The following is a 27,435-nucleotide window of genomic DNA, read 5'->3' as shown; positions in this document are numbered from 1 at the left end:
CTTCAAGTGCTATATATTATTTATGAGACTACTCAGGTACATGTAAGAAAATGTAAACTCTTACCCGGGAACGGCATGGCAGCAATCTCAGTAGAATGGTTATTTGGGGGAAGAAGTGAGAGAGAAAGAATTGAGAAAGTCTAAAAGAAAGATCCATCTCATTTATACCATTTTATTGTCCAAAAGCATAGATATAAAGCAAAGGGAGAAAATATTAGCAGTGATCAAAATGGAGTTCTAAATATATAGGTCTTTATTAGGTTATTCTCTGTACTTTTCCAAATGCTTAAAATATGTCATAGTGGCCGGGTGCGGTGGCTCACGCCTGTAATCCCAGCACTTTGGGAGGCTGAGGTGGGCGGATCACGAGGTCAGGAGATCGAGACCATCCTGGCTAACATGTGAAACCTCTTCTCTACTAAAAATACAAAAAATTAGCCAGGTGTGGTGGTGGGCGCCTGTAGTCCCAGTTACTCGGGAGGCTGAGGCAGGAGAATGGCGTGAACCCGGGAGGTGCAGCTTGCAGTGAGCCGAGATTGCACCACTGCACTCCAACCTGGGAGACAGAGCGAGACCCTGTCTCAGAAAACAAATATATATATATATATATATGTCATAGCAAAATAATAGGGAACGATGAATATAAGCCTTGAAGTCAAATAATTCTGGGCTCAAATCTTTTCCAATGCTTGCCAATTGTGTGATATTGGATGATTCCCTTAACATCTCTGGACCTTAGTTTCACCATGTTTTGAATAGAAATAAGAATGCTTGTTTGAAAAGCTGGTGTCAAGACTGAATGTGAAGATATATATTAAACCCTGGCACAATGCCCCTAAAAGGTGCTTAAAAAATAGTAGTTACTACTGTACTCCAGTGGTTCTTAATGGGGACATTTGGCAAAATCTGGAGACCTGTTTGGTTGTCATAACTGGAGGGTGGGGAGATGCTACTGGCATCTGGAGGCCAGAAATGCTGCTAAACATTTTACAGTGCACAGGACAGCCCACACACCCAAAAAATATTTATTCAGTCACAAGTATCTACTGTTGAAGTTGAGAAACCTTCCTATAGCCGAAGGTCTCCCAGAACTTGACCCAGGCCACTTTACTCCCACTTAAGTGCTCTTGCCTGTATAACCAACCTGTAAGGTTGTTAGGCCTTGGCCTTTCTTCTAAATTATTATAGGATTAATAACTAATTATGGGTATTTACCCTCCTTTCAGCCAATCAGTTTCACATTGGGTAAAACCTACCATCTTACTGAATAGAAGAACTGCTTAGCTCACGAAAAGTTTTCATAAATCGTTCTTGAATGAATGAATGAGTCAATCAATCAACCCATCAATGAGTACAAATACAAACTCTGAAATCATAAAGACCTAGTCACTCTTCTTGGCTTGCCTTCTCTGACTTCCCATTCATTTGAAATGAGGTTGTATTCAGTTTTCACTCTCTTCTAACAGGGGATCCAAACAAATGAGTCAGAAGTTCTCAGAGCTTCATATCCCATGTCTGAGGGGGTCTTCTATTATAACAATTCAGAGTCAAGTCCATGGGCTAATCTTCCAATGGCCCTTGTCAAGACACATCTGAAATTTGCTGAGACACAGAACTCTTCAGCTTAAACTGACAATGGCGACACAAAGTCAAGTGAGGTATTGACCTAGAAATGATGACCATATTTATAACACCTCAATCTAGTTTGACTCTAGAACAGCTTGTGGAAAGCATGTACTGTTGTTTTGATACAGTATCAGGAATATGTACCAAAAATAGTTTTTTGAAACTATTTACTTTTTGCTTTGTTATAGACTCTGATTTGGGGAACCCAGACGTTGTGCTTGTTAACAGGACAACTTTGAGTCCTTGCTATCTTCATCTTCACCCTCGATTTGGAGAAGGTAGGTGCCGTTTCTTTCTGAATTCATTTTTTCTAGTGTTTGTTTTGGCAACACTGAAGTTCTCACCAGTTGTTTCAATGATATAAAAATTATCCACATCATTATAATTATATTATAATTTAGATAGTATCATTATAATGCATTTGGATGATAATCCAAATGCATTCTAGTTCCTACTTACTTGTGTACATGTCCAACAGGACTTGATGGAGAGGAGATTCACCAAATGAAATGGTACAAAGGGCACTATGATTAAATGTTGCTTATCATCCTAACTTTGTACTTGTGACTGAGTGACCTTGAGAAAGTTACTTGATCCCTCAGTTTTTTCATCTGCAAAATAAGAAATTCAAACTGGATTATTTTGAAGGTATTTCCCTAAACTCTTTACATTGCACCCTTGCAAAGACTGAGAAACACTGATTTAAAGCAATGATTTCCAAAAGCATGGTGGACAGGCCATCTGCTCCCATCACTGGAGTGCCTGCTAAAAACTTCCTCATCCCAGATCTACCAAGTCAGAATCTCTGAGGTTGTAGAACAGAAATCTGCTTTTTTTGAAGTCTCCAGGTGATTGGGATGCTCAGTAATATTTGAGAACCGCCATCGTAAACATTGAAAACATCCTATTGTTCACATGTACATTCAATTCTATAAAACGTGATGAGCTAGGCCTGCACCATGCAGAAACTGGCAGAAACTACAAATAGAATCATCTTCTATTTGTAGAAAATGTAGCAAGGTCAGCATCTGATGGCTGTATTACCTTTTGATTCCTGGCTCTGTAGTCCTCTACTCGATACTTCATTGGCAGATCTAGTTGTCTGGTGTAGGCTCATTGGCTCTGCCTCCCTTGACTGCAATTGAATGACAGCAAAATTGTTTTGGAAGTGACCACTGAAGAATGGCATCTCCTCCTAGACGATGTTCGAGCGTGATCTTGTCAGTCTGTGTCACTCCCTGAGATGTCATGGTCATCGCCTCCTAATTTGCAATGAGCTTTGCCGTCGCTATTTTGCTATGTAAAGTTGGGCTTTGCTCCTCAGGGTGTCATCACTGTGAAATGACTAAGGGAATGTGAGTCCTAGGAAATCATGTTTGTATGTGCAACCAAGACGGCAGACTCCTAGAGAGAAGGGGCCATGCCCAGAGACCCCAGATCAAACAGCACCAGGCCATGTTCAGAGCTCTGGGCTGTGAATCAGAAAACCACTCAGACCATGCTGTATCCAGTTCAGTAGCCAGTACAGGATTATGTGGCATTTCAGGCTTTGCAGATTGTGTGCCTAAACCCTCAAGGAATCACAGGGACCCCTAAAAAGACTTACGTCTTTAAGGAAAACTAAATCCTGGCTTTGAAATACAAACAGTGTCTCCCAGTACTGCCTACAGAGACTCCCTGCCAGGATCAGTCTAATTGCTCAGTGGGGTGACTGTTACTCTTCTCCAGGGCTTCAGCAGACATTATTTTCTGGCATCAAATAAAGGGAATTGGAGCCTTAAGAATATAGTGTTGCTGTTGTCTACTGTGGACTGGATATAAAACTCTTCTCCCAAATCACAGGCAAGGCATTGTGTGTGATCTGTCAGGTAAAATACTAACAAGTGCCCCTTCATGAGATAACCACTCACCCATAAAGAGCATTCCATACAACACCCAGTGCTGGCTGGGGATGGATGTGGGCTTTATTTGATTTGGGGTTGATTTATTTGTTTACCTTGTTTCTAGAACAGCATAACTTGGATTTAATGTCTCAAATACTGAATCCAATACTTCTAGGTTCACTGGCTTGTTATCATTTAGCATTTATGAAGTATATGTCAACGCCCTTGGCACTTTACAATGACTCATAAAAAGGTATGATCCTAGCCGTTGAGCATAAGGTTGCTATCAGTTGAATTACTGCCAATGTGGAAACAATCTCAGGACTGATCTGGATATTCTTTGCCGGCTAGTCACCCTGATTCCTCATTGCATCTGGGCCCAAACAGAAGTACAATAGCTGCTGCTACCATTTTGATGTTCGTATCTCAGTGCAATAGAAAGTGCATAGTTCCTGACACTAGGGAAAGGCTTAGCAAACATGGATGGATGGGTGGATGGATGGATGGATGGTGGGTGGGTGGATGGATGGATGGATGGATGGATAGATAAACAGGTGGATGGAGACCTCTTTCCTCAGTAGACATCTCTCATATTCTATTTCCCCTTCCACCTGCAGCTTTATTTATGTGTCTTACAAACCTTGCAGTTATAGAGCTAGTTTACTTAGAAATAAACTATTACTTAAGTGACTTTTTGCAATGAAGATGAGATCAATATTTCTATGAGACAAAAACATGATGAGAATCTGATTGCATAAAATCATATAAACTGGTTGTGAATATTACATCGATGTCAATTTCTTGGTTTTAATATCCTTCTAGACTTATATAAGATGCTGCCATTGGAGGAAGCTGGGTGAAGAGTATAGGGGATTCTGTACTATTTTTGCAACTTCCTGTGAATCTATCATTATTTCAAAAAAGAATCCCATGATTCTTTCCCATCAGCCTCACATCTTTGTAGTCACACCTCACTGACTACACTTTTCAGTTACTAACCCCTCCATGAATTATTAGCAATTCCAGTTGTGTCAGTTCAGAACCTCCAACAAGCAGAAGCCAAAACAATTAGACATGCAAGAGATGTATTGCAGGAAATTTACAGTGAATCATAAAGTGAAAGGGCGCTGGAGTGGGCAGGGAGAGCTTCAACCTGCTACACAAGTCCAACACCTGTGAAAGGATAGTGGGAAGGATGGATCCGGTAAGAAGTGCCTCAGACCATGTGTATGTAATTCAGAGAAAAATCTCACCTGGGCCAATGAGAAGTCCCCAAGCAACCATTGCCTGTTAGAGGAGTCCCACAGGGTTGGGAATGGAATGCTGCAGTTCTGGTACCCCCACTGTTCTCAGTCATTACCTGGAACAGGCTGGGAGTGGCGTGGCCTGGAATGAATGCTGGATGGATCCAAATGTGCAAAGACAACTGCAGGCTGCCAATCAGCTCTGCTTCCAGAGCAGCTTATCTTAGATGGAGATTTGAACTGGACACCTCCAAGGCCAGTATTAGCAGGCAATTTTTTTTCTCTTAGTCTTCTTGCATTTCTAACCTGCCTTTTAAGGACCTTAACTCCTTCTCCCTCTGTTGGCCACATAATCAATCTCCCAAACCAGAGTGACATCCACTCTGTGTCTTCTGTCTCTGCTCCTTGCCTACACAGTGCATTATAAAGAAAATCGTAGAACCGGCTGGGTGTGGTGGCTCATGCCTGTAATCCCAGCACTTTGGGAGGCCGAGGTGGGTGGGTCACGAGGTCAGGAGATCAAGACCATCCTAGTTAACCCGGTGAAACCCCTTCTCTACTAAAAATACAAAAAAAAAATTAGCCGGGCGTGGTGGCAGGCGCCTGTAGTCCCTGCTACTAGGGAGGCTGAGGCAGGAGAATGGCGTGAACCTGAGAGGCGGAGCTTGCAGTGAGCCGAGATCATGCCACTGCACTCCAGCCTGGGTGACAGAGCGAGACTCCATCTCAAAAAAAAAAAAAAGAGAAAGAAAGAAAATCATACAACCAATCCAACTGATGCACCATTTGTGTGTTCTCCAAGATCAGGTGGTCCTCAGGGTTCCTTGGTGTATTTAACTTTCTCTTTCCATTGATTTCATTTCTCACAGTCTTTATTGCAACCCTGTTCTCCTTTCATTACACCCACACTCTTGCTGTTTTCTGGACGTAGCCTTCCCTCATGAACTCCCTAAGTATTCCTCACCTCCCTGCTCCGTATCTGTAGGTTTCTTGATTCTCTCCTTCTTTCTTTACATCTCAGCCAGGCCACGGAGGAGTCCTTGAGCAAACGTTGCCTGTTAGAGGAGTCCCATGGGGTTGAGGGTGGAATGGTGCAGTTCTAGCACTTTGCCGTGCTCAGTCATCGCCTGGAACAGCCTGGGAGCAGCATGACCTGCAATGAATGCTGGGTGAATCCAAAGGTGCAAAGACAGCTGGAGGTTGTCAATCAGTTCTGCTTCCACAACTGCTTTCCTGCTCTGCTTTCTCTGCTGGAGAAAAGGTCATTCTCTCTAAGCTCCCCTCTCTTTGGACTCCGGTGGCCTTCCGCCAGCATACTTTGGTTGCATTGGTTGTTCCTTTCTCTCTCATGCATTTTCTTTCTCTCTGCTCCACTGGAGTCTGCCCGTTGGTCTATGAACATTGGCTCCTTTATCCTCTGCTAGACTTTCTCTGGCTCCTTCCGCCCCTTTAACCTGTCCTGACGTCTCTCTTCTTTCTTCATCGTCAGTCCATGTGACCGATGTTTCTACATTTGCTGCTCCTCCCCTTTCTCACCGAACACTCAGCCGTAGCCCGTCTCCTCCCACCCTGAGCTTTTGAAGCTGCTTCTGCATGGGGCTCTGACTTCCTTCTTGAACTTAAACTCCCAGTGCCCCTGTGCATCTCACCAGGGCCTCATATTCTGTGCCTGCACTTCCGCCCCCATATTCCCTTCTTCTCCCAGCTTTCCTATTTCTCTTCATGAGACCCCCACGGCCTGTTAGCCATTCAGGTTAAACTCTTGCAGTCAACTTGACTTCCATACCCACTGCTCTACCTGTTCTGCTTCTACAGGGTCTCTGTCAGCTTCTCCGTCCCCATGCCACTACCCCAGCTCCAGCCGTCAATGCCTGCCCTGCACATTCCTGTAGGCCCCTCTACATTGGCCTTTCCACCTCAAGTCTTTTCTTCTTCCAGGCCCTCATACTCATGGATCACAGTTTTATTTTCCTAAAAGCATAGCTTTCATTATGTCCCTTTTGTGTTGAAATCCTTCAGTAGCCCTGCATTTTATACTCAACAGCTTCCTGCCCAGCAGCTAAAAATAATCTCTTCCCAGCTAAACTGCCATATTTTTTCTGGATGTTTTTGTTTGAGCAGTTATTACTGACTGGCTAATTCCCCAAGCTCCCTCCCCACCCCTCACTGACCCCCAAAGACATAAAGAGGTGTGTGTGTTTGTGTGTGTGTGTGATGTGTTATGTGTGTGTGCATGGTGTGTGCGTGTGTGTGGTGTGTATGTGTGTGTTCATGGTGTGTGTGTGGTGTGTGTGTGTGCATGGTGTGTGTGTGGTGTGTGTGCATGGTGTGTGCGTGTGTGCGGTGTGTATGTGCGTGTGCATGGTGTGTGTGTGGTGTGTGTGCATGGTGTGTGCGTGTGTGCATGGTGTGTGCGTTTGTGTGCATGGTGTGTGTGTGTGTGGTGTGTATGTGTGTGTGCATGGTGTGTGCGTGTGTGGTGTGTATGTGTGTGTGCATGTGTGTGTGTGGTGTGTATGTGTGTGAATGTGTGTTTTACTCTTGTCCCTAACCTAATCTATCTGTTTTTCATTTGGAATATCCAGCCTTCCAGAAAGAATGAGAAAGAAGAGCATTCTTCTGGGTTCTACTCATCTGGGGTCACGGTGTAGCGACTAAGACCAAGGTTCTGGGATTATAATGATTCACTTCTCTGAGCCTCAGTTTCCCCATCTATAAAATAGGCTAGTAATTGTGCATATGCCATGGGATTATCATGATGACCAAATAAGGTAATACACGTAACAGATTTAGAGCCACGCTTGGCCCCTAACAGTGCTCCGTGCTCGCTGTTGTCATTATCATCATCGTTATCGTTTTATCACACTTGTGGTGTAACATTATCCACAGCTTAGTGATTCACTGTTTAGCAAGAGAGACTAACTTGGGGACTGTACACAGTTGGTGAGTTAGTACCCATAGTACCCTCACTAAGACTTTGGGCTAGTCATTTTTGGTACTTTGGATTATCTGTGAGAGGTCTCAGAGGATTCTGAAACCAAGAGTCTACATTATTCCTGGTAAGAATAGACACTTTTTTGAGTTTTAACTGCCCGTAGTTTAATGTAGCAGCTTCTGCTACTGGACAACTGCAAGCCAAATTGAAGAAGAAAATAAATTCTTCTGACACAGAGATCGCTGGTCACCCAAACAAATAATGGTACACATGACTCAGATTGCAGATGAGACCAGGAGCTGGCAAAGATAGTAAAAGATGAAATGTAGGAGGGAGGAAGGGCTGTATTGAAGGAAGGGAAAAAAGAAGAAATTTGAAATATAAAAGTTGACTCTAACAATTCACATATTAAAATGAGGGTAGCTGGGCACGGTGGCTTAAAGGCTCACACTTGTAATCCCAGCACTTTGGGAGCCTGAGGCGGGCGGATCATGAGGTCAGGAGATGGAGACCATCCTGGCTAACGCGGTGAAACCCCGTCTCTACTAAAAATACAAAAAAATTAGCCAGACGTGGTGGCGGGCACCTGTAGTCCCAACTACTTGAGAGGCTGAGGCAGAAGAATGGCGTGAATCCAGGAGCTGGAGCTTGCAGTGAGCCAAGATCGCACCCCTGCACCCCAGCCTGGGTGACAGAGCGAGATTCCGTCTCAAAAAATAAATAAATGAATAAATAAAATAAAATGAATGTTGACACTGGACAACTAGATGGTTATTCATTGTGATTGTAATTAATGCCACTGAATTGTAAAATTAAAAATGGATAAAATAGCAAATTTTATGTTATATAAATGTTACCACAACAAAAAATAAACACACACACATCCACAAAAACTGAACGGCTAGAATATATAGCAATTGATAACATCTTGTTTCAGGAATGTTTTATTACATGACAGATATGCTTATGTCAACTTAGTGTTCATTGAGCATCTACTGTGTACAAGCACCATGCTTGGTATATCATGATATGTGGCTATTTTATGTATTAGTACTCAGGGGATACATTACTTTGATGAAAACATGTTATTGTACCTGAAAGGGTAAGAAGCTATCAGTGCAACCATATCACAGACTTGTGGGGAAAGTACACCTGCCTTCATTGAAAGAAAAGAAAAATAAGGACCTGGTTTCAGAATCATTTGAAAAGTACCTTCTGCATTACATAGACAACACTGAAGTATGAGCCAACTAGCACCAACAGTGTAGGAAGTTGCTGTCATCCTTTACATCCATGCTGACACTTGTTATTGTGAGACTTCAATGTTGGCCAAGGTGGTAGTTGCGGGAATGGTCCCTCGTTATGATTTTAATTTGCATTTCCTTAATTGCACTGATTGGTCTTTTGAATTTTGTGTGTGTGTGTGTGTGTGTGTGTGAAGTGCCTGTTCAATTCATTTGCCCATTTTTCTTTGAGTTAACTGGGTTTTTTTTCTTACTTATATGTCAGTACTATTTGCTGAAGATACAACAGTAGAATTTTCACTAATGAAATTTTAAAACCTAAGGAAATCTTAGTATAGTGTGACAAAATCTCTGATATGGTTTGGCTGTATCCCCACCCAAATCTCTTCTTGAATTGTAGCTCCCGTAATTCCCATGTGTTGTAGGAGGGACCTGGTGGGAGATAACTGAATCTTGGGGGCGGTTTCCCCCATACTCTTCTCGTGGTAGTCATGAGATCTGATAACTTTATAAGGGGTTTCCCCTTTCACTTGGCTCTCATTCTCTCTTGCCTGCTGCCATGTAAGACATGCCTTTTACCTTCTGCCGTGATTGTAAGGCCTCCCCAGCCATTTGGAACTGTGAGTCTGTTAAACCTCTTTTTCTTATAAATTACCCATTCTTGGGTATGTCTTTATTAGCAGCATGAGAACAGACTAATACAATCTCCTTTAATAATAGCAAGAAAAAATTAGAGAATTATTTTGATAGCCTCTTTTTGCAAATGGCTTCAAAGAAAGTAAGTTAGGGACATTTTCTTCAAACAAGTTACTAACTTTAGAGGCAAAAACATGTAGGGGAATTATCAGCATTCCCCATACATCCACTGAAAATGTGTCTGCAAGTACAAGGCCATCTTTAAGTGGCAATAATGCAACTGAAATAGATTATTCAAGGAAAGGAGGCGTATTATTGAGGTCAGTGTGACCACTGACACTTGTGAGCTTGTCTCTGAAGAACAAAACACTGAGCACAAAAGTTTGAAGTGAATGAAAACGTATCTAATTCCCAATCTAATGAAAATGCCTTGGGCGCTGGGCCAGAGAATAGATTTGGACCACAGACTGGACAGTTTTTTTAGGGTCTTAAATTTAAATTACTTGAATTATTTTTAAAATACCATCCTGCTCAGTCTTTTGGAATAAAAACATGTTTTTCAATTAAAAAAAAACTTCAATATAAGGATCGAATGCAACTTCTTTGACGTTACTCATGTGGTCTAGAAAAGCAGACGTTCCATTCTAGTGCATACTCAGCACATAGGGGAGACATCCAGTATAGCCTCCATTGAGCCACAACACACACGTGCACGTGCACACACACACACACACACATACATTCTCCACATACAGGCACGTAGACACACAGACACATACACAGGACATACACACATGCACATATACACACAGACACATTTTATACACAGTACACACACACATGTACACACAGACACATATACACGGTATCTACACACACACATAGACACATAGACACATATACATATTATACCCATACATACACATATACTCCACATACAGGCACATAGACACAAAGACACATTATATGCACAGTGCACACACACACATGAACATATACACACAGGCACATTTTATACACAGTATACAACCACACACACATACACACTCTCCACATACAGGCCCTTATACACACACACATATCATATGTACAGTATACACACACATATGCAAACATTCCACATACACGCACATAAACACACACACATATTGCACAGTATACACACACACATATATACACACAGACACATTATATACACAGTACGCACACACACTCCACATACAGGCACATAGACAAACACACACATTTTATACACAGTATACACACACACTCCACATACAGGCACATATACACACACACATTATATATACAGTATACACACACTTATACACTCCACATACAGGTACATATACACACACACATTATATACATAGTATACACACACTCATACACTGCACATACAGGCACATAGACACACAGACACATTATATACATAGTATACGAACACACACACTCCACATACAAGCACATATACACAGACACATCATATACACAGTATACACACACTTATACACTCCGCATACAGGCACATAGACACAGACACATTATATACATAGTATACAAACACACACACTCCACATACAAACACATATACACAGACACATCATATATGCAGTATATACACACTCATACACTCCGCATACAGGCACATAGACACACAGACACATTATATACATAGTATACACACACACGTATACTCCGCATACAGGCACATAGACACACAGACACATTATATACATAGTATATGAACACACACACTCCACATACAGGTACATATACACAGACACATCATATACACAGTATATACACACTCATACACTCCGCATACAGGCACATAGACACAGACACATTATATACGTAGTATACAAACACACACACTCCACATACAAATACATATACACAGACACATCATATACGCAGTATATACACACTCATACACTCCGCATACAGGCACATAGACATACAGACACATTATATACATAGTATACACACACGCGTATACTCCACATACAGGCACATAGACACACAAATACGTTATATACACAGTATACACACACCTACACAAACACTCCACAAACAGGCACATAGACACACAGACACATTTTATACACAGTATACACACACACATGTACTCCACATACAGGTACATAGACACACAGACACATTTTATACACAGTATACCCACACACATGTATTCCACATACAGGTACATAGACACACAGACACATTATATACACAGTACACACACACTCCACATACAGGCACATAGACAGACACATTATATATGCAGTACACACACATACACATACACTCCACATACAGGTATATAGACACACAGACACATATGCACATTATATACACACACGCATATAGGCACACAGACGTGTCACATACACATATATACATATACATCCACACTGGCACTCAGTGCCTGAAAACCTTGAAGCAAATACACACATACATGAAGGAGTATAAAGGGACATAACTTCCTCTGGGGACACTAAATATTACTTTACAAAACTTCTACAACCCTCAGTTTCTCAACCAGTCAAGAATGAAAGAATCATTTTAGAATTACTAGTTTGTATAAAACTTTATTATATAGGAACCGAAGTCAGTTGCAAGTTTTAAAAGTGAAAAAGTGTACCCTAAATTGCTGCTTATTTTAAGCACATCGTATCTAAAGAATATGTAGACTTGCTTTAAGATACGAGCATTTAGAAGGACATTGTGTTATCATGGCTCTCTCCTTTTTTAAATACATATAGATGAACAGCAAATAGAGATTAATCAAGAGATATGTTCAGCTGGGAAAGACCCCCTTCATTATGAGGCTATGGTCATGGAGGAGACAGCTTCCAAAAGCCTGGCCCACCCAGCACCTCGGGGTTCGATGGCTGGCGATGACCCAGCTGGCTGTTTAGGAGCGCAGTCAGCCTGGATTCTGAACCATTACCCACAGACTTCTGATCCTGAGTCTTGTGTTCATAGCTCCAAACCTGGATGGGGACAGAGACCTCATAGATATGTGACTTATGTGCGTTTCATTGGCCAAGCCTCATTCTCCCAAGCTCCTGGCCAGGAGGGAAGAGCTAGTCTCCAGCACTCACCTGATGCTGCCAGCCATGCTTGGTGTTCAGGATGGTTCACTCCTGGCTCATAATGCCTCGGCTCTCTCCTAAAAGGTCACAACTCTGCGGCTTGGAATCAACAGACATGTAACTGCCCTGTCATCTAGTGAAGCTCCTCTGGCCAAAGTGCCACCCTTGTTGGAAGCATAACCAAGAAACCTTGGCTGGGACCCTGGGACTGCTCACAGGAGTGGAGCTTCCTTACTACATCCTAAGAGAAGGAAACAGGGGAATGGCCTCTGTCCTGTGGAATAATCTCTGTGCACATCCCACAGCAGCCCAAGGCCCACATCTCACTGAAGTATAGCCTATCATGGTCCACGCCCAAGGACTCAACCCTCTTAAGGTTCCCAGACCTAAAGAGGCAGGACAAGTTCATCTGTCATCTCTTCTCACCTTCTAGGACCCTTACTCTTACGCTTTCACTTCTTCAATTACTAAGAGTTTAAAGTAGTTGAGGTGTGGCCCAGCTACCCTCTCTGCTCACCTCAAGAACACCTAGATCAGTACTAGGGGCTACAATCTGATGAGTTTCCATGGGGTTCTGGAAGGGCCCAGGTAGGGGCCAGCTCTGGACCATACAAATTCCTCCTAACTCCCCATGACAGCCTCCCCAGAAGGAGCCCTACGTCTTTGGAACAACATCCTTGGACACCATCTTTGCTTATTTACATAACCTACCTCTCATTTGAGGCCATCTCATTATTATGACTTATTCATCATCTATTTTTTTAAGGCATCATCTATTTATTCATCCAACATGCCTGGATTGAGTGTCTGCTGTTTGCCTGACACAGTGTTGAAAATTTGGAATGTGGGCCCCATGCAGTGGTTCATGCCTGTAATCCCAGTGCTTTGGGAGGCCAAGGCAGGAGGATTGCTAGAGCCCAAGAGTTTGAGGCTACAGTGAGCTATGATCACACAACTGAACTCCAGCCTGGGTGACAGAGCGAGACTGTATTAAACAAAGAAACAAACAAAAAAACAGAAAAGTGGGGATGTGAAGATGAATAAAATATAGTTCCTTTCCTCAAGGAGCTTACATCTTGCAAGAGGAGACAGATGAGTAAATCAACAATGAGAGGGCAGTGTGGTGACTGCTATGAGTTTTGGGGGAAATGTAAGCGCAAGGTTCTAAATTAGTTATCATTGTCCATACAAGTGGAGTTTGACCACCCATCCTCCCTTCACAGAGTTTCCAAGAATAGGTTGCTGAGATCACCAGTTTCTCTGGTCAAAGCTATATAGAGCTGGGCTCTGTTAATATAGGTGGCTTTGACCTCCACCTGCAATTGTAAGCCCCCACTTCTGCTCCAAATCTCCCCCAGGTACTCTGGGGAGTGAACTGGGAAAGGGGATGTCACATGTGTTCACATCAGTCTTCTCAACCCCTGCTGGTTTCTAAGTCCTCTGCCATGTATCAGTCTTTGTGAGGGTGCCCCATCCTGCTCTGTCCCTGCTGCTGGGAGATCTCCTGGTTGCTGTCCGTGCAAAGGCAGTCTCTCCTGTCCTTCCTCAAGCTGGTGGCATCACTGTGTGCCAACATCTCCCTGCTGCCATAGTTGGTGATATCACAGGTTCCAGTCACTAAGGGATCCCGCTGGACATGGGGCTGGTATGGCCATGAGCACAGGTGTCTGCTTCGGGTTGAAATTCCCTCAATTCCACTTTGTCATTTTCACCTTTGGCATTTCCACAGCCTGGAAACTCCTCCATAGCTGGGAAAGAATCTCTTTCCTTGACTGTTATGCCATAATCAGTTGCCTTGTTCCCAAAGCCCTTCTGGCCCCCATGTCCTGTCCCTCGAAGAGGCTTTGTGTGAAAATCATTCTCGAATCTTTCACTTGTCACTGGGATTCAGCCTGTGTGCTGGGATGTGGCTTGGAGGATGGAGGAGAGAAGGATAATCTGTCTTCTTCACAGTGGAAGGCGTCCTGTACCCCAAATCCGCCCACCCCTTTGATTACTGTGTCATCCTTCTTAAGTCAAGCCTGTGTGTCTGACCCTCTCCTCAGGATGAATACTCTTCTAGAATCCTTCATCTGCCACTCAAAAATATTCCCAAAAACCCTCCTCCGATGGACCAGTGCTGCCACTTCCCATCCTTGCAAAGGCCAAACTTGCTTTCCTGCAAATCCCACACTAAAAAAGATCTAAGATCCCAAGTCCTGATTTCACAAGCCTTTCTTTGAAAGGAGGGCTGCCTAGCATGGTGCATGATCCCCAAGGGCTCCTGGCCATCAGTGTACCATTCTTAAAACAGACCTCACATCCAACTGAGACCAAGCACTTGAGGCGTTCTCTACCGGCATTCTCTACCATCTCTGAACCTCCATGATGTCACTTCAGTGACAGCTTCTCCAGCTTCTTAGAAAACATTTATTATTATTATCAATTCCAAATAAGTAACATGGTTGCTGAATAATTAGATTCTGGGTGGGTGATCTGTTGCGTAAGTCCAAATTAAGCCACTGAACAGACTATACACACACACACACACACACACAAAACGTGTTGGATACTTATGTGTATTTGTTGTGATTTTTTGTCTATGTCTATAGCGTGGTGAAATCACTGAAGCAAAACCCCGATGAAAGCAATTCACAATTTAGCCTTTACCGTCATATGGAAATGTCAGTTCCATCTAGCAACGAGAATATTACAGGGATGTTCAATATAAAATGCAAATATAATAGCTTAGTGGGTTGGATATGTCAGCTGTGTTTCACTTAAACCTATTACCTTGGCAGATTAAATATAGGTACAGATCTTTCACAAGGAGGATATTCTGATGAAGTTACATCTGATATCAGCCTTTGTGGATCCTCAGTTTGATTGGCTATGAGTACAATGAGGACAAAAATGGGTGAAGAATAGAGAGTGAGTGGGACACAGCCATGGAGAAATAGAATTTGCCTGTTGCCTCCAGACCTTCCAATACCCACTAAGAAATATTGTTCTTTGCTGAAGCATGAGCAATTTATAGCAAAGATTTATCTCTTATGTGATGAAGTGGACGAAGGGACACCCATCCCACCAGGCCTATATAACCACTTCAAAATGTTGATACCTGCTTATATAACCCAACTTAGCTGAGCAGAGGTGAGCCAGCCTGAGCTGTGCCACTAGCTCCAATCTTGGTGCTTCTGTAGCTGTCTGGACCACTCAGCTCTCCTGGCTGAACTGCACAGTGGTAGACCCTACTCATTTAACCACACACTCCAGCCTCTGACCTCCTTTTCACTGTCAGGACCCACTAAGTCCATTGTGATTTGTCTTGCTATTGCCACGTCCTTCTGGTTATAACTTCTTGCCCAAATGCCTCGTGATTCATTATTCCATAGCACGGCCCAGTTGCTGCAATGGCTTCCCCAGGACTGTGCTATCTTACCCTCTACCCCACACCTCCACACTGATGGCAAGGTTGCTGGCACCTTGAAATGGCCAGTGTTAAGCCTGTACTCCGCTCGTTAAGACAGGCTTGTTGGAAATTAACCAGCCTCATCCAGTTTGTCCAGCACAGCTTTCTTGTCTCGTTATTGCATGATCAGTTATAAGCTTTAGGGTTTATATATCCAGCAGCATTTCCCTGTGGGCTTTTCCAAGGGAGCATCTTGCAAATTGCTACAGAGAACTGAAGAAATAATTGATCTCTTTTAAAAGGAGCATTCCTTCTGTAGCTTCTGTGATCCGTTTTGCTTTGTCTTACATTAATATGCTGTGAGTATTATCTGTTCATAGCTATTTTTATGTATAGTCAAGAGACACGAAAAACTCACACTCAGTGGTTCCTGCTCTAAAAAATTCTAACTTGGCTGATGTAGCACCAAGTCTTTCTGCCAAAGAAGACACTAACCCATGGAGCAGTAGTTACCAGGCTAATGGGGTGGGTGTGGGGGTGGCAGACAGTTCATAGTTGTAGAAGGAGGATCTGGAGTGGAAATCTAGGCACCAGGACCCTACTGTATAATTGTGAACTGGGCTTCAGGGAGCTAGGTTCTCCTTCTTATTCTGCCCTGACTACCTTTGTGATACTTGTGCTGGTTGGACCCCACTCAGCCTACTTTCTCCTCTATAAAGTAAGGAAGTTGACCCAGAGCAGGTCTCTTCAACTCCAGTCTTCCGTATCTCCATGAATATGCCCAAAAAGTCAGATTGCTAGTTAGGAACCCAGAAGATGCTAGCAAAAGCAATGATTACCAACTTTCTGCTGGACTTAGAGCCCAGCACTTGACATTGTTATCTCATTTAAGCCTCACAGTGATTCCAAGAGGTTGGTATTAGGGTCCCATTTCACAGAAGAGAGAGCAGTTCTCAAAGGGGTCACTCAACGTTTTAGGATCACAATACTAATAAGAGAGCAGAGATTCTGATCCTGATGGAACTAACTCCAAATAGACTTTTAATAAGACGTAGTAAGAAGTGCCCAACACTCCTTTTTTTTTTTTTTTTTTTTTTTTTGAGACGGAGTTTTGCTCTTATTGCCCCAGCTAGAGTGCAATGGCACGATCTTGCTTCACCGCAACCTCCGCCTCCTGGGTTCAAGCGATTCTCCTGCCTCAGCCTCCCAAGTAGCTGGGATTATAGGCATGTGCCACCATGTCCAGCTTATTTTGTGTTTTTAGTAGAGACGGGGTTTCTCCATGTTGGTCAGGCTGGTCTTGAACTCCTGACCTCAGGTGATCCACCCGCCTGGGCATCCAAAAGTGCTGGGATTACAGGCATGAGCCACCGCGCCCGGCCCCCAACCCTCCTTTTATTACTCTTAGTTTCTGAATCTCACTACACTTCTCCTCTCAGTCCACTCTGCATGCCTGAGTGACCCCCTTTCCTGACATCTAAAACACATGTACCTCTGTGCCTTTGGTTAGTGTGAAAAGGGTAGCATTGCGTTTTAGAATTCTGTATCCATTCTTTGCAACAAGATGGGACTCAATAAGCAAAAAGCAAAAATGAGTTTCTAAGCAGCTGCTTTCCATATGAAATGTCATGATGGTATAACTCAAAAAGGGCAAGATTTAGCTCAAAAGAATACTTTTCAGACTATCATGTATAATCCTCTGTATATGGGCACAGGTGCCTAACGTGAGTCATCTGTCATTTCGCCAAGGCCGACTTTAAATCATAAACAGCGGGAGGTCCTTCAGCTTCCAGTGGGGTCTCATCAATTGCCTAGTCTTTGCCTCTCCTGGCAGCAAACCAGTTTTCTTTCTTTGAGAAAAATGCACCACCCCATCCCCAACAGTTAGACAACTTCTGGTGAGTGCCAATTATTTATATGAAAACTTCTAAGAAAGCACAGATGAACTTTGCCAGAAAGTAGATGTTTTGTACAATTTAAAGAAGGGACTTCAAAGTCAGAAATGCCCTGTGAGTTTGATGATCCTTTTCTCTATTTGGAAATAAGCAAAACTCTACTCTTTCACTAGTATATCCTGATAGTATGTATTACCTCATTATTCACAGATTCCGTATTTGCAAATTCACCTACTCATTGAAATTTAGTTGTAACTTCAAAATCAATACTTGCAGCACTTTCATCATTATTCACAGACACATGCAGGGAGGTGAAAACATCAAGTCGCCCAATGTGTGTGTTCCCAGCTGAGGTCAAATAAGGGTCTGCTTCCTGTTTTATCTCTCATACTATAAACAAGTGTTCTTTTCATAATGCCATGTTGTTGACATTTTGTGCTCTTAGTTGGTGATTTTGTCATTTAAAATACCCTGCAACGCTGGGCACAGTGGCTCACACCTGTAATCCCAGGACTTTGAGAGGCCGAGGTGGGCAGATCACTTGAGGTCAGGAGTTCGAGATCAGACTGGCGAACATGGGGAAACCCTGTCTCTACTAAAAATACAAAAATGATCCAGGCATGGTGGCATGTGCCTGTAATCCCAGCTACTCGGGAGGCTGAGGCTGGAGAATCACTTGAACCCAGGAGGTGGAGGTTGCAGTGAGCCAAAATGGCACCCATGCACTCCAGCCTGGGTGACAGAGCAAGACTGTCTCAAAAAAAAAAAGAAAAGAAAATACCCTGCAAGCATGATGCAAAAGTACCGTCTGGTGGTCCTAAGCACAAGAAGGCTGTGGTGTCCCTTACAAAGAAAACACATGTGTAAATTAAGCTTCATTCAGGTATGCATTATAGTGTTATTGGCCATGAGTTCAATGTTAAGTAACTATATGTATAGATATACACACACACACACACACACACACACACACAAAATAAGGTTCTTAAATCTTCAACAGGAACACACATAAAACGAGGCTCTGTATTGATTCATTGATGAAAACATTGTGACCAGAGGCTTGCAGGAACCTAATTCTCTATTTCCCCTAGGAGCGATGGTTCGGTATTCACTAACTCAGTGTCTGTGGCAACTTTACAGAGCATAACTACTGCAAATAACAAGAATCAGTGCATTTCCAAATTTAGAAATTGCTCATAGTATCTTGAGATATTTCTAGCACTGCCAGGGAGGTCTGGTACTACTGATCTCATGCCATTTTCTGCTTTGTGGAAAATGGGAACTTAGGAAATCATCCCCGTTCCTTCTTCTGTGATGAGCAGATTTTCTCACTATTCAACTCCACCAGGTACTAATTGAGTGCCCCAGAATCTACCGCTGCTGGAAGATAGGCGAAGAATCAGTCCCTGACCTCAAGAGCTTTCACCTGTGTTGGAATGACTGGGCTTAGGGTGGCAAACCTACCCAGGTAAAAAGGAAAATGGAAACATCTTAGAAATGGCAGAGAGAAGAACAAACTCTCTGAGGCATAACATAGGGAAACAGGCCATTTTTCTAATAGTAACCTTGAACTGTTAATTTAGTGTTTCCTCCCAGGAACTCTGCAAAGGAAGTTCGGCCTTAGCCAGAGCTTCTAATTAACTCCAAAGTTTCTACCACATCAGCAAACACCTAAAGACCACCCCACTGCTTGTCTCTCGCCTGAAAGAAGTCAAAAAAGTGATGTAGGTGAGAATTGCCCAATAGGAAATCCTTTTTTCTCTATGGGAAACGGTCGCTGTATTTCCCTCAGCTTGATTATTTTGGAGGCCTGTAATCTTACAGCTGGAAAAATACTATTTATGATACTTGGAATAAAAATAGTAATATTAATTTATTAAGCACCCAGTTTATTTTGGGATCTGTGCTGGGTGCTGGGAAGACAGGGATGAAGGGCACGGTCTCTGCCTCCATGTGTCTCATGGTCAAATGGGAAAACTTGGTCATTGTGAAAGTGGAGTCATGCTGTGGGAGAGGGAAGCAGGAATAGGGTCTTGCAGTAGCACGTAACCCAGCATGGGAGGTTTCGGTCGGGGGAGAAATGCTTCTTGCTGGAACAGTCTTGAAAGGGGAGGAGGAGTTGGTCAAATGAAGGAAGCCGAGGTGAACGTTCCAGGAAGCAGGAACCTCATATGGAATCCTAGAGGCATGAAAGAGTTATGGGGCATTTTATGACCTAGAAGCAGAGCATGGGCAATGGACGAGTTAGAAGAGAGCAGGCGAGGGAGAGGCAGCACACAGGTCATGAACAGCCTGGAAGGCCATGTAAGAAGGTGGGATCCTCAGAAGGATCTCACAAAGGCGAGCAAGATAATCACATTTGCACTTTCTGTAGGTCAATTAGACATAGTACAGAGAAGGCATTGTGGGCAAGGCATATCTGAGAATGATGAGAACAGTTAGGCCTTTGGAAAAGCCACTAGGAAAATAAGAGAAGAGCGATAGGAATACAATAAAAAAGAGAAAATAGAAATAGGGAAAGAAATGAGAGAATTTGAAGAGCAGCTGGGGGAGAAAAAGAAGAGGGTGAAGGGAGGCAGGTTTGGGGATGATTTGGGGTGCCCTGAATTGAAGGGCTCGTGGACCATCCCAAGGAGGTAACAGCAGGGAGCCAGAGATCCTGGGTTGAATTCAGGAGAGTGGTTTGGGATGGAGATGATAATTGATGATCAGCCTATAGATGATCATTGAAGCCAAGGCTTTACATTACACAAAACAAAGTGTTTACAGTTAAGAATAGAAGGTGGCCACAGAAACCCTCTTCAGAAACACTAATATTTAAGGCATTAATAAAGGAAGATAAGTCTGACATGAAGCTAGAGAGGAGGTAACCAGAAATGAAGAAGGAATAGAATGATGCCAGGTATGACAGAGGAGACGTCTTGCGAGAGGGAGTGGTCACTGAATACAATGATTCAGAGAGGAAGGCACAGTGGAATTGGTTGTTAATGACTTAGAGCAGTTTTAATGGGAAAGTAGGAATGAAAGCAGATAGCCCTGGGTAGAGATGCAAAGCGGAGTGAAGAAGTAAAAATAGTACAAATGTAGACCAGCTCATGGGTAAACTTGACTTTCAAGGAAAGGAGGAACAAATAGAGGAAAATGGGAAGTTAAGGATGGCTTCTGCCTTTGCCAGTGGAAATTAGCTGTGGTTCTTCCTCGCTGGCAGGATACAGGAAGTATTTTCAAAGTGCACATAACTACAAATAACATAGGCTATGAGAAAAAAAACCTCATGGTGAAGAAGTGAGGCGGGGATGAGCATGGATCAAGAATCAAGGAAGCGGGTGGGCATAGTGGCTCATGCCTGTAATCCCAGCACTTTAGGAGGCTGAGGCAGGAAGATAGCTTGAGGCCAGGAGTTCAATACTAGCTCAAGCTACAAAGCAAGACCGTGTTCTCTCCAAAAAAAAAAAAAAAAAAAAAAAGGCTGCATTTGGTGGCTCACACCCATAATTCCAGCAATTTGGAGGAGGATTTGCTTGAGGGCAGGAGTCTCAGTCCAGGGTAGACAACATGGCAAAACCCCATCTTTTAAAAAAAATTAGCTGGGCATAGTGGTGTGCACCTGTAGTCCCAGCTACTTAAGAGGCTGAGGTGAGAGGATTACTTGATCCCAGGAGAATAAGGCTGCAGTGAGCTGTGACCACTCCAGCGTGGACAACACAGCAAGACCCTATCTCTAAAGAATTTTATTTTTTAAGAATCAAGGCACCTTTAAGTCACGGGTTCTAAAGAGGATGTTTTTTATAAGAACCTATGAAAAATACTAAAATGGCACCAGATTAAGACCCAGAAGACCTGCAGCTGTCTCTTATTATCTTTCAACCTTAGGCAAGTCCTCTCTCTGTGAGCCTGAGTACCCTCATCTGTAAAGTTAGCTAAAGACTATCTGTCTCGCCGATATCACTGGTTGTAGTGAGAATTAAACAGGGTAATATGTGTGAAGAGCACCGTGGAAATTGGAAAGCCCTGCACGATTGTGAGATGTCATTGTGTGAGAAGAGGAGCCTTCTTGCTGTCTTCACCATTTGCTGAAGTGCCCTTTGCTGTTGAAGTTATCTCAGGTACCGCGTGGCTTCTTCCAAACTACAGGCAGGATCTCTCTCTTCTGGGGATTTCTATCTTTTTTTTCTTACTCACTTGAGATGAAGAGTGCTGTGGATGGGTAAGAAGAACATTTTTTAAAATGAAAAAGAAAAATGTTGAACTGACACTAATCACTAATTGTTTTTAAAATGGATGTAGATCTGCATCAAAACTATGTGAATGCATTTCTTTTTAGATATTTAAGCTTCCCAGTTATGACCCTTTGTGGAGGAAAAACCCTTTGTAGAGATCACTACTTATTTTTTTTTTAAGGTGGAGTCTTGCTCTGTTGCCCAGGCTGGGGTGCAGTGGCATGATCTCAGCTCACTACAACCTCTGCCTCTCAGGCTCAAGCAATTCAGCAATTCCCGTGCTTCAGCCCCGCAAGTAGCTGGGATTACAGACATGTGCCACCAGGCCTGGCTAATTCTTTGTAGAGATGGGGTTTCTCTGTGTTGGCCAGGCTGGTCTCCAACTCCTGATCTCAAGCGATCCACCTGCCTCGGCCTTGCAAAGGGCTGGGATTACAGGCGTGAGCCACTGCGCCCAGCCAGAGATCACTACCTTAAAGAAAGATGGCATTACATCATGCCTGCTAAAATGATGTTGACCACAGGGCATGCAGGCCACACTGACATCCATTCCCTTCCTCTCTTTATTGTTTTAAATTAGCATTTCCCTCTTAGTCCAGCAAAACACATACTCCCTTGACGTATGCCGTGTCCTTGCTAATATCTATATTTTTAAATAATACAAAATAGAATAAAAGCCAAAACACCTGTTCTAGGAACTTTAGACTAACACAAAGACTACAGAGTAGTGTCTGTAGGCTAAAACTGTCTTTGCAAATATGTTTCACTTAACTCATAGATGGTTTTTAAAAGATTGATATATTTGGGCCAGGTGCAATGGCTCACGCCTATAATCCCAGCCCTTTGGGAAGCCTAGGTGGGCAGATTGCTTGAGCCCAGGAGTTCAAGACTAGCCTGGGCAACATGGTGAAACCTGGTGGCTTCAAAAAATACGAAACTTTGCCTAGCGTGGTGGCGCATGCCTATAGTCCCAGCCGCTCTGGAGGCTGATGGGAGGATTGCTTGAGCCCAGGAGGTCAAGGCTGCAGTGAGCCATGATTGCACCACTGCACTCCAGCATGGGCGACAGAGCGAGATGCTATCTAAAAAAAAAAACAATTGATATATTTGATATTTACACATACCAATCTCTACCACCTCTTGGAACAGTGGAAGATCAGGCAACACATGGCACAACTTTTATTCCCCCATACATCAGGTGACCAGAGCCGAGTGCCTCTCCGGTCCATTTCATCCCAAGCCCCACTCCTCCTCATCATCTCTTCAGGCTGGTGTGCACAGGTCCCTGGAGATTTCCGAGTTATGACCCCTGGTTTAAAGCCAAATCAGTGAAGTACAGTGGGAAGAAAGAAGTTTGTTTCTGAGGATAGAGTGGTTAAAATAAAGAAAAAGTGGCCGGGCATGGTGCCTCACCATGTAGGCAAAGTGCCTGTAGTCCCAGCACTTTGGGAGGCTGAGGCAGGAGGATGATGAGGTCAGGAGATCGAGACCATCCTGGTGAACACAGGGAAACCCTGCCTCTACTAAAAATACAAAAGATTTGCCAGGCGTGGTGGTGGGCACCTGTAATCCCAGCTACTCAGGAGGCTGAGGCAGGAGAATTGCTTGAACCTAGGAGACAGAGGTTGCAGTGAGCCGAGATTGCACCACTGCACTCCAGCCTGGTTGATAGAGTGAGACTCCGTCTCAAAAAAAGTAAATAAATAAAGAAAGAAAAAGTAAGTAAACATTTCCCAGCTTAAATACTGGGGCTAATATGCCTGATTCTCAGCTTCTAGACAGCATTGTCTGCTTTAGGATGGGATTCTCTAAAAGTGGACATCAAATCTTTTTCTCTGTGTACTTCTTTGTATGATAGAGATTAAAATAAAAGCAAGTACTATCTTTGGGGAAGGCCTAATGCACAGCCCAAAAGAAAAATTTCTATCACTTCAAAGGCTGAGGCAATTGGCCAAAAAAGTCCAGAAGACACTTCCTACCCCAACAAGGTCAAGAAACTTTGATAACCTTGAGCCCAGTGGAGAAACATCTGGTAGACAACACTTCTCTTTTACAGTTAGGAAGATAAAGTTCATTCTCGATATTATTAACACAGACACACCGGTCATGGCCGATCTGTGCCACACAGAAGAAATATTCCCAAGCAAATCATTCTTTGGATCTCCTCAAGTGGTCTGCTGTCTGTGGAATTTCCTATTCTCCAACCCCAGAGCAGAAAGCAATCCCCGCCCGCCTGGCTTTGGCCATCATGAGGTTTAAAGAGGATCATTTGTTTTCATTACAGCCCCTTGAAGCTCTTCCTTCCCTCCTCATTAATGAATTTCCAGTCTTTCATCAAAAAATAAAAACAAAAAAACAAACACAAAAAAGGATCTGACAGGGGACATAGTTAAGTGGCTGGCGCGCATGGCTGTGCCGGCTTTAGAGAGAGGAGACAGCCATTTACTGATTGTGAGGAGGGGTTGACATCCTTGGTTAGTATGCTAATTTCATCTCCTGCATTTAACATTCAGATCAGGTCTGTATAGGCCCTCCACAGCCACAGAGTCCAGGGATGGGTGACTGTCTGCCTTGCAGCATTGAACATTCTCTGCATGAATTACATAAATACCCAAACATTCCGCCTGTTCTGACTTCGCTCCCTTTCCCTCCCTCTCGGAGAGACACATAGACACGGAGCCACACTCATACAAGCACACATTTGCCACGATACCTTCACACACGCACACACACACACTGCAGACACAGGTCTCTATGAATGCCAAACACATGCGATGGAGGGTGCCCAAGTCATCCACAGCTGGTTTATTTCCTCCTCATTTGGGTCTCCGTGGCTCACTTCTGCAAAATCTATTTCTCCTGCTCAGGAAACTTGGAATGTACTGGGGAGTCCTAAATAAGGAAGCAATGTGAAATTAAAACCTCAATCAGAAAAGAAGGAGGATATCTTAAAAGGGTGACCTTCCAGTCCCAGAAATCCTTAAAGAGCCCCAATTCCACTCATGTGAAAGAGAACCATTTAGCTCAGTTAACTGAACACCCAGAAAGAAAGAAAATCCAGCTCGTTTTATTACTTGAGGTCCCCACTTTGTCATGTGTGTTTGGAACACTGTATTAAAATCACCAAGCCAAAGCTGGGTGACAACAGAAGAGGAATCCCAAACTGGCACCCCCATGGCTGTCCAAATGGCAGACGATCGCCTGGCACGTTTGCCAGAAACCCAACCAATGGAAAACTTAATTTCCTCAACCTCCTTTTTCCAGCGTCTTTCAGTAACCCTGCAGCAGCTTCTGCAGACAAACAGAGAATCAGCAGCTCCTGCTATCAGAAGGTACATTTGAGGGTTGCTTTTAATAAACTGAAGCAGAAGCCTCCCATAAAAAGGAAAGGACACAGGTTGGTTTTTATTGTTTTGGTTTGATCTGTTCTGGTTTTGGGGTTTTCATTTTTTTTCTCAATGTATGACATCACTGTATACCCTGGCATACCGTAGCTCTTTCCTCTGGACTCTGGTGGTCCCTAATTCTGTCCCCTTGTGCTCACACGATATTCCGTCCTTGGCTAAGGAACATCGAGCAATTCCCGTCGGAGCTTCCCACCGGAGCGACGGGTGTTTTCTCCGAGCTGCAGACTTGATTTGCCTCGATTTTTTTTTTTTTTTTTTTTGGCTCTGGTCCAAGATGTTTTCCTGTCATCATTTCACTGTCTTTTCCAGTAATCCCTTTCTTAAACATTGCCAACAATTAGTCGATCTAACTCTACCACCACCACTACCCCCCACCCCCATATCCACGCAAACACACCCTCCACTGAACCCATCACTGTCTCATCTTGCCTTGAAGTATAAGAAATTACAGCTTCTCATTAGCTGGAGAGCACGATTGGAACGGCTCTGTGTTTACTCACTTAGTAAGTGATGCTGGCCTTTTTAATTATTCTCCCTCCGCGTGCCATCAGAGAGCAGCAAGCTGTCCAAGTCACACCGCACGACTGCGCCTCCTCCGCAAGGCAGTTGGAAGTAATCGTGTTTTACCTCACTGCTGCCGCTGTCTTCCTTGCCTGTCAGCAAGCCAAGGAATCCCCCCAAAGCTCTTACGTAGGAGATACCAAAACTGTGAGTCACTTTGCACTCCCAGAGCAAAGTCCATTGCGTCCTGCACGTAACAGCAGACCCAAGATGGGGGTTTCCTCCAAGCCATCGAGATTCCCTGGGACCAGATGTCCAGTCATCGATTCCTTTTTTCTTGCTATTGCTCCCTCTTTCTCTTCCACCCGTGTCCATTCCTTGGTTTTGAGGTGCTTTTCTCTTTTTCTCTTCCCTTCTGTGTTGCCGACAGCCGCAGACCCAGCAAGAGCTGGGTCCCTCTCGCCTTCTGTTATTTTTTTCCCCCGCAGCAGCCTTTGCCTGCTACCTCTGCAAGCTGGATCACCAAAGACACACGACTCACTCACAATGAATAATCAATACGGATATTGATCTGGGGAAAATGTTTGTAAATTCCTGAAAGGGAATCAGGAGCAGGGGCAGGGAGGCTCGTGGAGGACGACACTGCAGTGCTCCACGGCCGGAGGAGGCAGAACCGCATTTGGATCCCAGGTCTCGCTGGCTCCGAGGTGACGGGTACCGGAATGCGTGCGAACCAGGGTGTGCGAGTGTGAGGAGGGGGTCCTGTATTCTCATTTCTCTACAGCTGCTTTCCCCGAAGAATCAAGAGCCAAATGGTCGGGGAGCTCCCGTCAGCGCCATGTCTTGGCTGCGGGCCAGCACTGTTTTGTTTTCATTATCACACGCTACTTTGCAATTTGCATAAATACAGGGTTATTTTTTATCGTGTCGCCCAAAAGATAGAAAAAAAAATAGAAGTCTTTGTTGTGTGCAAGAGGGGCTTGCTGCCTACTCATCGAGGCTAAGGATTTACCTCCAAGGCAGGGCTTTGGAGCCTATGTAGAGAGCTCCAGAAGAAATATGCAAAGAAGTGGTAATCACAGAGAGAAAAGAATACAGGAGACAAAGAATGGAATTTAACGAGAACTGAAGGGCACTCGGCGTGGTGAAACCCAATATTAGGGATACATTTGCTTCTTGGAGAAGTGGCGTAGACTTAGACAAGCAAAGTAGAGATAAGGACCACCAGGATCTAACCTGTGTCCCTGTTAGACACATTTCACGCTCTCAGCTGGAACGAACTATTGATCCCTGGAGGAAAAGGTATGCAGGACAATGAACACGAACTTGCCTTATCACCCCCTCGCTGCTTC

At 43.7% G+C, this 27,435-nt stretch overlaps 1 protein-coding gene and 1 long non-coding RNA gene across 2 annotated transcripts in view, besides 1 other annotated feature; one reads left to right on the top strand and one right to left on the bottom strand.

Annotated features, from left to right (window-relative positions):
* ZFHX3 (zinc finger homeobox 3) overlaps positions 1–27,435 on the top strand; it is a 1,109,046-nt gene that overhangs the window by 632,980 nt on the left and 448,631 nt on the right. The window contains exon 5 of the mRNA NM_001386735.1: positions 1,815–1,904. The gene's annotated coding sequence lies outside the window, so the exon portion shown is untranslated. The remainder of the gene's footprint in view (positions 1–1,814; positions 1,905–27,435) is intronic.
* Positions 19,801–26,170, bottom strand: ZFHX3-AS3 (ZFHX3 antisense RNA 3). Its single transcript, XR_007065112.1, has 2 exons — positions 26,083–26,170; positions 19,801–22,152 (listed from the first exon to the last, which is right to left on the bottom strand). It is a non-coding gene; the product is annotated as a ZFHX3 antisense RNA 3 (long non-coding RNA).
* Positions 25,569–26,768: an enhancer, noted in NCBI's record as "BRD4-independent group 4 enhancer chr16:73266082-73267281 (GRCh37/hg19 assembly coordinates)". NCBI's record gives its function as "activates an origin of replication core promoter dependent on BRD2, P300/CBP, MED14 and CDK7 cofactors, and independent of BRD4, by STARR-seq in HCT116 cells {active_cell/tissue: HCT116}" and the evidence as "EXISTENCE:reporter gene assay evidence [ECO:0000049][PMID:35650434]".

The sequence above is a fragment of the Homo sapiens genome, chromosome 16 (genome assembly GCF_000001405.40).
Source record: "Homo sapiens chromosome 16, GRCh38.p14 Primary Assembly".
In the NCBI taxonomy this organism is placed as follows: Eukaryota; Metazoa; Chordata; class Mammalia; order Primates; family Hominidae; genus Homo; species Homo sapiens.
This window is presented reverse-complemented; position numbering and strand designations above follow the sequence as displayed.